The 12898-nt window shown below is 39.2% G+C and overlaps 1 protein-coding gene and 1 long non-coding RNA gene across 2 annotated transcripts in view; one reads left to right on the top strand and one right to left on the bottom strand.

Moving 5' to 3' along the window:
• The window catches only part of KLHL14 (kelch like family member 14), a 100351-nt gene that overhangs the window by 23515 nt on the left and 63938 nt on the right, over nt 1-12898 (bottom strand). The window lies entirely within an intron of this gene.
• LOC112268208 (uncharacterized) overlaps nt 1-12898 on the top strand; it is a 53523-nt gene that overhangs the window by 11259 nt on the left and 29366 nt on the right. The window lies entirely within an intron of this gene.

A 12898-nucleotide genomic window follows, 5' to 3' on the forward strand; every position in this document is an offset into this window, starting at 1 on the left:
CTGTAACAAAGATGAAAACTGTCAGGAACATCACAAATATCTATTCTCCTTGCCTCTCCCTTCTCTCTGCCCAAATGTGGTGGATGTGAGGAGGGGGCATTATTCAGAAACCCACTAATGCCAGCTTTCTCTGTATTTGTTCTGATTTACATTTCCTTTGGGGAGACACAAAGTACCAGAACAGGATGCTCCTGTCTCCTTTTGTGCTGTGCAGTGTTAGTGTCTGCTACAATAATATCCTATGGTAAATGTAAACGTATACAGCATTAGTTATCATATCTCCTACAGTGGTTTGGGCCCAGTAGGAAAAATGATGTCCTTGTTCAGCTCATCATATGGGCACCTTAAATCTAGGTGAGGACAAATGGGGAGGTGATGTGCATGTTCAGGCAGGGAACTTATTCCTTGACACGGATCAACAGAGCACTTAAGAAACCAGTGCAGTGGGAAATCAATATGAGTCAGGGCCAACTCTTACTTTGTGCTCCTTTGCCAATGCAGGGAGAGAGAAAGTGAGGAGACCTATCTCACGCCTGACTTATTTTGGGTGCTATATAGCTCTCATTTCATTTTGTTTTTATTATCTTTTATTTTTCTCAGAAAGCATTTACGCTGGCTAAGATATTTAAATAAAAAATAAGAAACAGGTACAGGTTTGAGACTCATAACACAGCCTCTGAAAGAGCAAATCAGATCATTTAAGCTTCTTACCAAGGGATTTTAGGAGTTTTGTTTTGTTTATTTACCTACTGACTTATTTATTTGTACTGTAAATATGCATTGTTTTTGAACTTACATCCACAAGGCGGAAGGCATTGGTGTGTAAACCTCCAATCTGGGGCATAATGTAGAAATTGGGTGGGCAGTGGTTTGCGCGGTCCATGAATTAGGTCAATTGACTTCGAGAGTCATCTCAAGAATGTCCTTTAGCCCATGAATCCTCAGTTTATCTCTGTGAAAAACGCTTTTACCTGCGTAGATGCTACAGGCTTCACTACTCAGAATTCATTGTGGCAGAGTACACGTGAGGCTCATTGAGCAACAGAGGTAGAATATGTTTGAAAGGTTTTCTTCCCTTTAATTAGTTCATCATTGTTTGGATCATAATGCTGGTTCCAAAATACCAAAAACAAAACGAAGCTTCCCTTGTCATATTACGAACAACCTGGTGCTACTCCAGTTGATGGTAATGTCCTCTGGCCAGTGGTAAACTTACTCAGCATTAATTGTCAGCTGTATGCATCAATTCACATGAGATACAGTGCAGTCATAGAGGCCATCGGCTACAACGAACTTATTCTATGACCACAGCTCTTCAAATATTTCTTTTAAACTTTTGGTCAGTTCAACATTTTGCCCAAATCTTATAAATAATGAAAAACGGTATTATCTTTTTTTAAAAAAAACAGAAGTCCAGCTTCATAATAAAGTACAGTCTCTGAAAATAAAATGACACTTGTGTTTTGTTCTTGCCATTCATTTGCTCTCATTCAGGCAAGCAGAAATTAAGTGAAGGAAATAATACATGATTTATTTTTAAGCCTCTTTTTCATTTGATTACCCCTATTGTTATGCTTTATGCAAACAAATGAAACTATTGCACTGAGCTAACTATTGAACTCTTCAAAATAAGAGAAAAGAAGGTCTTTGAAGTCCTACTTTAAAGGCTACTTGAAGGAATTCTCATCTATTTACACATTTTTACCTTTGTTTTAAAACCTGTCTGCTATATTTCTTGGGTGAGCATTTCAGTATTCTCATTCCTGAATTATTGTCTTTTCTGAATTATTACTGTGAATTGAGAGGCTATAAATATACCCAAATGCTCTTTGACATTATTCTGAATGTAAAACTCTCCCAAATTTATTTTAAAAAATCTATATTCAATCAATGTTTGAATTTTGCAAAAGACCTAATTTCTTTGACTTCTGATTAAGCCCAAAGAAAAGCAAAATAAATAGGGTAGTGAACAAGAGCAAACAATTGTTTAAAATGGCCTTGGGTACTGTACTTATTGATTTTCTTTTAAATAACCACAGATACATGCCTGCTCCTTTCCAGATTTCTCCAGAGGTGGACAAGTGCCTCGCCCTCGCAAGCAGATAGTGGGGGAGGTTTGTACTCCAGGTTCACATACAGCCCAGTGTGAGTTTTTAGCGTGTCAGTCAGTGAGTTAGAGGGAAAGGGGAAAGAGAAGCTAATCAGGATGAAATGAGATTAAAGGCTGTCTAATTTTACAGCAACTGTGATCCATCAGCCACTGTGAAAGTGACAGTGGAGATGAATGATGGAGACAGACAGGTGGGGCTGTACATTTCACTGATTTATCCTCAAATGCACTGGGCCTTATTTTATTGAGTGAACATGACCGCATTTATCATGACTGTCATCTAAACCCACTTCCCTCCATTTAAAAAGGTCACTTTACTCAGAGGGAGTAGGAGAGAGGCACTTTCAAATCAGATTTAAAATATAATAACAGGTGTTCATAAGGCCCTTTGCGAGACTTCTCAACTTTATTAAACAAACAGGTAGTGCTAGGAGAAAGAAAAAGCCAGAAAATTGGAGAAGAAAAAACTTTTCATCATCTGAAGGAGCATTTCATTTCATCTCTAAATTTCAAGCAATTTGTACCATTTTTGCCCGTTCCACTCCAAACACCCAAAATTCTATTCTAGTCTTGGGAAATGAAATAAAACATTTACATTTAATATTTTTAATTAAGAAAGTAGGAATCAGGTAATACTGTAAAATAAACTTGGAGAGGATATTGTCACAGTATTTACTCTGCAGAATGACTAATCATCACACAGGAAATAGATGTTAGCAATCGTAACAAGCTGAATCTCTGCCACAATTAACTTATGTACCTGCTAATTGTTTTCCCATAATTTTAAGGCCATACAAATCTCAGTTACACAGTCTTTTACCCCTCCTTCTACCAGAGCAATAAAATGCCCTGAGATCTTATCCACAAAGTTGGTCTTTGTGGATGGGAAAAAGGAGTCAAACTCTCCGGGAATTCCCTATTACTTTTTGCAATAATAACCAGCATTGACCAAACATTTACTATGTGCCACATATATGTACATTAAATATATAATTATATTGATCTATATTATAGCTTTGAAAATACAACAACACTTGCGTTCTTGCTGTTCATTTGTTCACATTCAGGCAAGTAGAAATTAAGTGAAGGAAATAATAAATGATAAAATATACTGATAGTATATTTACCTAAATTGGCTCACATCTTTCATTTAATACAACTAATCACAAAGGAGGCATTACTCATTCATTTTATTTTTTTAGAAACACTAAAAGGCCTTGAGAGGGTAAGTCACTTGTTGAAGGTCAGACTCAGGTACCGAACGGCAGAGATAGAATCCAAACATGGGGATATCTGGACCCCAACTCACGCTCTTATCCATTTCACTCTACTGATTTTCAATAGGTATGTTCATCCATCCAGCAAGTAATTACTGAGTTCCTGAGTGTTCAGTGATGGTGTTTCTGAAATTTGTGTATAATTTTTTATATTGAATCATATTTTAAATGTGTTTATTACTATGATATTTGAATGAATCCTTAAAGCAAGAAGACATTCCTTTAAATGATTTCCTATAAATCTGGATATTTGAATAGCTGGTTTCCTTAAAGCAGAGTACATTTGTTTTATGGAGCCAGAAAAAACACTGAGAAAATCAGCCAGTTAAGGGTGGGTAGAATCTGTTGGCAGATTTTTTTTTTTTTTTAAACAGTAAGGACATATTTCAACCTTGCAAGCAGATTCAAAATACCTTGGTTACAGAGGCTGTTTTCCTGGCCTATAAAATGTCCAGGGGTCTTGTTTGTATTCATGAAGGCCTTACTGTACTAGAGATCCACACTACTGTGTCTCCTCCCACATTTTACATCTAAGGAATGTAAACCTCTTCCAGCAGAAAGTATACGTATCCTTTGCAACCCCCAAATTTTCATGAATATCCAAACAAGAGATTGCAAAGGGCTGTGCCAAGAATATAGACTTGCTAAATAGATGGTTATTGAATGTTTATCAATTGGATGTGACATTTGTGAAGGCCTTGATATTTTTGGTCTCAAATACATAAGCTTGCAAAACTGTCAGATATAACAAAGTCCTCAATTGTTTTGAAAAAATAATTAATGCCCATGGTAAAAATACAATCTTAAAAAAAAAGGACATACAGAACAAATAAGTCTTCCTCTTACCCTCGGCCCACCCTCAGCCTTTCAGTTCTCTACCACAGAGGCAATCTCTGCTACTGTGTTCTCGGGTTTTCTTTCCAGAGACATTATATATATGGGTCATTTTTGTTAACACAAATGGCAGCAGCATACTGTAGACATACTGTTTAGTGTCTTGCTTTTTAGCACTTAATAATATATTCATTCTTTCTTTCTCCATTAATCAAGTATTTGTTTTGGTGCTACTCTATGCTAGGCAATGTTGTACCTGCTGGGGAGGTCGTGGTAAGCAGCAAACCGGGTACACACTAGTCAGGGGAAGCACACAACAAACACAGACACAAGTAAATAAGCTCTTTTGTTTCAAATGATAAGTGCAAGAAGAAAAATAAATCTGGGCTGGGGAGAGGGAGCGGCAAGGGTAGTGAGTTTTGACAGTGCTCAGGGAAGGCCTTTCTGAGTAGATGACTTGTGAGGAGAGAATTGGCTGAAGTGAGTAAGGGAGCTGTGCAGGGTGCAGGTGCAAGAATAGCAAGTGCAAAGACCTTGAGGCACAGGTTTGAAATGTGTGAAGGACAGCAAGAAGACCAGAACACAGGGATCTGAGATGAAGTTGAGGAGAGAGGCCCAGGGCAGACCAGTGCAGTGTGGAAGGACATGGTCAGAAGATAACACTGGCATTATCGTCCACTGAATTATTTTAAGTGACTGCACAGTATTCCATTTGATGGGCATTCTATAATTGATTCCATTTCCTTCTGATGGTTAATTCATTCAACAAACATTCACTAAACACTCACTAGATGCAGACACCTTTCTGGTTGCTGATAATACACAACTGAACGAGGCAGACAATATCCCTGCTCTCCTAGACCTTATATGATAGAGAGGATGAACAACACAGATAAATAAATAACAAATAGGAGCACAGCCAGGTGATGACAGATGACATAAAGAGAAATACAATGGGATGATGTGCTAGAGAGTGAGTGCCTCTCTATTACTTTAGTTGAAGCAGTTGGTGCAGAAGTGGGAATGAGTTGGTTGTGTCTGAGAAGCAGAGAGAAAGCCTGTGTGTTGTGAGCACCTTGGATGAGGGCCCAACAGGCATGGGATGAAGTCAGCAGGCAGACACAGGCTGAAATGCAGGTCTTCATGAGCCAGAATAAGCATGGTGGATTTTATGCTAAGCATGATAAAAAGGCATAGGAGGGGTTTAAGTGGCAGGATGACATAATCTGATTTATGTTTTAAAAATATCAGTCTGGCTACTATTGAGGTTGTAGGAGGGAAAGAAGGAAAAGAGGAGGATCAGGCAGAGGTTCCTTCTGTGATCTAGATGAAAGAAGATAGCAGCTTGGCTAGGAGGGGACAGTAGAGATGGACAGAAGGGCTATGCTTTGAAGGTTGCTGCTGTTACAAGCAGTGCTGTGTTGAGTGTCCTTGCAGATACATAACACATGTGGATAATTTATCTGTAGGGTTGATTCTTCTAAGTGAAATTTCTGGGCCAAAGAATAGGTACATTTTACATTTTGTTGGAACCCATTTTTACATTTGTATCTTTGCCAGTATGGTGAGTGAACAATTGATGTCTAGTTAAAATCTAAATCTTCATTTATTTGTGCTACAGGTGTAGCATGTTTTCATACATTTAAAATCCATTTGTATTTTATACATTTTTGTTGGGTTTGAGTTTTTGATATAATTTATGTTACTTATAATTACATAATTTCTGTTTTAAGGTATTCTTTTCTAGGAACGGACAAAATAAATGATATCTTGGAAGCATCATACTGCTAGAATACATATTTGTGAAATATTTACTCATTGAAGCAAATTCAAATAGCAATTACATGCTGTTGAAAACAAATAACCTGAAAGAAAGATGCTTCCCTTTAATAATATTGAATATTCCTTGCCATGGGCTCTTAGAGGTTTTTTGTTTTTTTTTTTTTTAAAAAAAAGTCTTCAATTTTATAGTAAATGCAATTGAGAAACATAAATGTTTTAAAATTTGCTAGTTAGTTTAATCCTACCATTCAGTCTTTCAGCAAAGATCTAGCAAGCTGGCTAATGCATTTCTGGAGATAGAAACAGACACACAGTAAAACATTTTACATATTTACACATTTTACACATTAGGAAGGGCTTGATAGATATTATTGAATAAATAATTTAAGATATTATTAAATAAATAAATAGGAAAAAGCTCTGCTACTTTTTTTCTGTTATATTTGGGCTCTACTATAGTTTCAAACTACAAATAAATGGAAACATTTTGTGTATTTGGGGATGATTTTATCATTACGGACAGTTAGTCTGGAAAGTTTAACTCTGTAAGAGTTTTTATGGTCAGAATCCAGTTATGAGTTGGCAAATGTTCTGAATTAACCCAAAGGTGGCCAGCACTTTCTCCCTTACCTCCTACTTGTTCTGCACATACCAAGCCAGATTTTCATAATCCCTGGAGATGAAGTTATTTAAGTGAGTTTAAGGTGTATAAATCTAAAAAAAAGTGCACATTTAGGAGGCTGTGCAAGAACGAAGAGAGCTTGTCTCTCATAGTTCAAAACTGTATCTAAGGGTCAGTTTTCTTGACTATGAGGATCGTTTCATCACTCCCTCATCTTTGCAATGATTGGACTAAATGCATACTTTTACTGTATCACTTGCCAAGTGATGAAACAGTGTATTAAAAGGCTTGTCTTTGGCTTGTCACCCCCAAAAGATCTATGAGCCCCTGAAGGCCAGATGCTATCATCTCTGTAGCTTCATGCCTAGCACAGAACTCAGCACATAGTACTGGGCCAGACTCTGGCATCCCTATAGCATTTAGGCATAACATAGTAATCAGAAATATTAATGGATCAGTAAATATTGATCAACGAATAGCACGAATGACTGAATGCTAGCTAAGAGACTATGGAATTTATTTTTTTGGAAGGTGGAAAAGATTGTGATGGATGCCAGAAGATGTGAAGGAGGGAGGAAGTTAAAGAAGGAAAAAAGAAGAAAGGGTGACTTTGGTAAGGATTCTATGGCTTCTAGGATAGATGTCACCCATGCAACACATATGTCAGTTTTAAGCAAAGGAGGTTTGTAAGCTTTTCAAAGGCTGGCCATATATTATTTCTTTCCAGAACTATGATAACACCTAATTGTGCCAAGGGCAAAGGTTTTCAATAAAACCTTGTTGATTTACAGTTTTAGTTCTGAACACTTAACTTGGGGAAGTGCTAATAAGCAGTGACATTAATGTGATTTCACATTGGACTTCTATTACCTGTTTAAGCAAAACTGACCTTCAAAGTCTTATTTTTATCTTAGTTCAAATATTTTCACTAATATATTCCTAAATTATGATCGTGTTATTTTAATATCAACGGTTTTACTTTGAATACTTCCTGGCATGCTAGTAGGAACTTAAATGTAGTTTTATTTTTACTTTTGGAGAGTAAAAAATCTTTGGGAATGAAAGCTGCCATCTCTTTCAAAGGTTAGTTTTTTTTTCCTGTTTTACAAAGTGTTGTGTATTTCAGAGACATGTCAATGAAACACTCTAGAGCTTTGATGACTGCCCTTTTCCAAGTGTCAACACAATGTCTTCCTGATCATATTTTTCTGGGAGAAAGTATCATTCTCATACTTTTTATTGTTCCACAGCCCAAAAGGCTCATGTCAAAAATAGTAAACCCTCTAAATGAATTAAAGTAGCAGAGCAACATATATTATTTAAGCATTTGATAATAAAATCTTTGACAAAGGTTAAGGGAGTCAGGGCTATTTATAAGGTGGATGATATGGCAACAGGATAGCAAAAATGATTGTTATGTAGTTTAAATTATCTTAGATGATGGCCCCATAGTTGACCCAAGTTATTGAGGGCAGAAGGAAGGAAATGGGTGTGGCCTACATAATGAGGATTTATAAGAGGAGTTTTCTGATGCAAAACCCACATACTCAAATATGGGAAAGTGAACTCTAGTTGTTCACTTGAAAACCTACAAGGTATCAGAAGGTCTAATTGAGAATCATATTTTGGGCCAGGCACAGTGGCTCACACCTGTAATCCCAGCACTTTGGGGGGCCGAGGCAGACAGATCACCAGAGGTCAGGAGTTTGAGACCAGCCTGACTAACATGGTGAAACCCTGTCTCTACTAAAAATACAAAATTAGCCGGGCATGGTGGTGTGCACCTCTAATCCCAGCTACTTGGGGGGCTGGGGCAGGACAATCGCTTGAACCCAGGAGGCAGAGGTTGCTGTGAGTCAAGATCGCGCCATTGCACTCCAGCCTGGGCAACAGAGCATGACTCTGTCTCAAAAAAAAAGAATCATATTTCAAGCAGCTAATTCATTTCATTCAAAAATATGTACTGTACTGTGTACCTATTGGTTATTATGCCAACCTCTGAGCATATGAAGATGAATTGTACACCATTCCTTCATCCCAGAGCCCACTGTGTAGACAGAGAGAGAGAGAGAACATGAGAACAGATAAATAGGATACAGAGTACTCCAGGTAGAAGAGCAATAGATGCTCCAGGGAGGAAATGACTAAAACTTCAGTGAGAAAGTGAGGCTTAAGCTTAATCATGATTCCGAAAAGAGATTTTTCCAGGCTGTTGCAGCAGTAAATGTCATTACTGGGAAAAGGCACACAGATTCCACAAACATTTACTGAGCACCTACTAAGTGCCAGGCCTTGGGCAAGGCCCTGTGATATAATTTTTAAATATTAGCTTAATTTAAAAAAATGAATTATTAGAATTAGATCAATGTCTGAAATCTTATAAGTTCTATTGTTCTATATCACTGTAGCATGACTACAGTTAACAATAACATATTACATAGCTTCAAATAGCTAGAAGGAGAATGTTGAATGTTCCCAACACAAAGAAATGATAAATGTTTGAGATGATGAATGTGCCAATTACCCTAATATGATTACTATACATTATATGTAGCAAAACATCACAGTGTACCCTATACATTATTATTTATCAATTACAAAATAAAATTTTTTAAAAGATTGTATTATGACTGGGTGTGGTGGCTCATGCCTGCAATCCCAGCACTTTGGGAGGCCTAGGCAGGTGGATCACTTGAGGCCACGAGTTTGAGACCAGCCTGGCCAACATGTTGGAATTCCATCTCTACTAAAAATACAAAAAGTAGCTGGATGTGGTGGCTCATGCCTGTAATCCCAGCTACTCGGGAGGCTGAGGCAGGAGAATCACTTGAACCTGTGAGGTGGAGGTTATAATGAGCCGAGATCACACCACAGCACTCTAGCCTGGGTGACAGAGCAAGACTGTCTCTAAATAAATAAATAAATGAATGTATGTTATATTATTACAATATCAACTTTTTAATTGAGGCCTGCGAAAATGTGTTGGGACACAATGGTGCAAATAAGAGGAACGTGCTTTTATCTACACTGTCCTTTTGGACAGCGGGCCTGCTCTACCTACTCAAGTTCCCATCTGGACCACTCTCTTCTTAGACAATCCGGTGATCGTAGCCTCTGCTCTAATTAAATCTTTCCTGACATGTGGAGCCACCTAATCATTCTGGAAGCAATTGGTAGCATTATCAGAACTGTGAGCAATAACTTTGTTCCTTTTAGATAATCCATCATTGCATTTGTTCTAGCTAACTCAGTGTGTTATTGGTGCCGTTGCACTTATTTGACTTTAAAGCCTATTTCACTGCAAAGATTCAGAAGAATCTGTCATACAGTCTTCCAATGGCCATTTCATGGTGTGTGCATGTGTATGCGTGATGTCCAGTAAGTACTAGAGCAGTTGGGCCAGGACATCAGGATTATACTGAGTCAACAGCTTGTCACACATAAGGGAAATTAAGGTGCAGTCCGTGATCTTAGGAGATGTGCCCAAGGTGGATGGTCAGGGCCATGATGAGGCCTAGAGTCATCTTTCCAGGAGGTTCTGCAATCTTGATTGCTGGGAAAAGGTGAAGAACCGAAGCAGTGCAGGTCAGAGTATGTAGAACAATATGATGAATCCCTTTACCCCTTTCTCGGCACTGTTTTTTAACTGGCAAAACTAGATATTCACTGAATACTAAGTAATATTTATTTATGAATATATTTATGAATGATATGAATATTTGCCACTTCTCCAGTGTTAGAATATAGGCTGAGACCCTGGTGCTAAGACAATCTAAAGATACATACCGGGTTATCTATGCAGGACTTGATAACTTGGTCCCTAAACTGGTTTGAACTGGTTGTCTGTGTGTACACACACATGTATTCAGTCTATATATACAAAGATGTAGAAGACAATTGGTGAGTAGGTGTTTTTTTTTAAGTCGTTATGGGAATACTGTGCATTTTCCATCAATAAGAGAAAATAATGATCCTCTCACCCTCCACCCTAAAGATGAGGCAGAGAGTGGCACAATTCTTGGATCAGATGTGTGCATGTCTCCTGGAGCTTGACAGGCACAGGGAGATGTCTGAAGGCATAAGGCTGGGGGGAAGCTGTCTGTCACAAGAGTGTGAGGGAGAGCTGGGGGAGAAGTCACCTGCACTTCTGGGTTTGGTGGGGCAATGGTACCTGGTACCTTCCTGTGGGCTAAGCTGGTGCAGTGGAGGCTTGCTTGGCCAGAGCTGTTTTGAAAGGACACCCCCTCCCACCACAAGAAGATTAATTGCCAGTTGAAGGTGACCATAATAAAAGCTATGTGGTGGGTATAGCCCATGGGGCAGTAGGATGTCTTCAGAAAGAGACTCACAACAGAACTCATAAAGACAGCTCATCACCAGAGAAACTCAGCTCTATATCAGTTGCCTCCTGAGGAGCAGGAAGCCAGGTCTTGGAAACCAGGCAAGTAAGAGCTTTTCTTCGTTTGCCCCACACCCTCCTCTAGCTGTATCCATGGTGAAACCAGAATACACAGCATGGCTGATTTCCTTCAGGGCAGGCCAGCCTGGCTCACTCTCATGTTAACACAGGTGTGCAGGAAAGAGTTTACATAGCAGGCCTAAGGCTGCTTCCTCAGAAAGGGCCGCCTGCAAAGCTAGCCTTTGGCTGGCATCTGAGAACTGAGATTTCAGGAGCATTCCCACTACCTTAGCTGATAAGGGTAGCTCTCTGTACCTAAATTGTTGGTATAAACAATGTGATTTATGCTGAATACTTCCTTTTCTTCTGGTAGCCTGGAATTTTGGTGTGTTCTAGAAGATGTGTACCTGACCAGCCCCCAATAAAACCCCTGGGCTGGAGTTTCTAACCAAGCTTCCCTGGTAGATAGCAGTTCAAGCGTGTTGTCACCATTCGATGCTGGAAATGAATGTGTCCCATGTGACTCCACAGGAGCAGCACTCTTGGAAGCTTGAGCTGGGTTTCCTTGGGACTTTGCCCTGTGTGCCTTTAACCTTTGGTGGTTTTGCTTTGTATCCTTTTGCTGTAATAAATCATAGCTGTAAGTATGGCTATTCTATAATCCTGTTAGTTCTCCTAGTGAGTCACTGAACCTGGGGGTGGTCTTGAGGATTCCTGATACAGTAGGAGATGGAGAAACTTTAAATGTATTTACTGGATGATTTAATGGTCCAAAGTGGCTGGGTCTGCTTTAGAACTTTTCAAGGTACAACCTACAGGGAGAGATAAATTATCCAACAGAGAGGGTTTGAAAATCGGTGGCTGAAAAAAATCAAGTTATTTTTGGCTGGCCTCATATGTGAAGCTCATTCAATAAACTGATTATGGATGGATGGATGTATTTCTGACAAACTGCTTCTGGGCTCCTGAGGAACACTTTTTAAGAAAGCATGGCTCCAATTTCCTCTGGTTGGGGCCAATGTGCGTATCTTTCCTGAGAATCCACTAGTGCCCAGCACCATCCCACCAGAGGTGCTAGAGGATTTGCCAGTGAAATTGGCATTATCGCCCTTTTTATTCCATAGGGACATTTGCAATGTATTTGAAACACTGATACAGATCCATGTGAGGCCATTTGAAAGGAACAGGGCAGTGGTGTAGAAGATTTGTGTCAAAAAAATCTAGAGATAGGAGAAATCACTGGAGTTTGGCTTAGTTAGGTAGCAGCGTGCCCTATTCAATCTCTCCCCAGACACTACATTCTTCTGCTGTCTTCACAGGGTGCCCTGCTATATCTTTAAAAAATAAAGAAAATGCAAACTTCTTTCATCCTGCTCTCCCTTCTAGCTGCCCCTTCTAGAGCACCCCACTACCTGACCCACCAAGCCAGGCTTGTACACACAGCAGTAGAATGTGAGTGACTGGTCTAGAGAGGGTTGCATGATCCAGCCAGGTCCTTGCGAGGGGTTTTCACACTGGAGCTGAAAGGAGAACACTTTCTTTTCTGATCACAAATCCTGGAGCTGCTTACAGCAATAGAGAAGCAGGTCTGAGCAAAGAAGGAGCTCGTGTTGTGAGAAATGAGACCTTCAGAGAAGGCATCCTGATGGGATTTTGAAATTTTGTTTCTTAGTCATTCTTAGGCCAGTACTGCCCTGCCCTCCTGGTCATGTGGCCCAGTAAACCCCCTATATTCCATAGACCTTTGCAACAGCCTCCTCACGGGTCTCCTTGTTTTCATTCTTGTCCCCTTTTGGCTTATTTTTCACAATTTACTGAGAAAGTCCTTCTAAAACCAGAGTCAGGTGATGACATTCACTTCTATTCAGTCATTT

The sequence above is a fragment of the Homo sapiens genome, chromosome 18, assembly GCF_000001405.40.
Source record: "Homo sapiens chromosome 18, GRCh38.p14 Primary Assembly".
Taxonomy (NCBI): domain Eukaryota; kingdom Metazoa; phylum Chordata; class Mammalia; order Primates; family Hominidae; genus Homo; species Homo sapiens.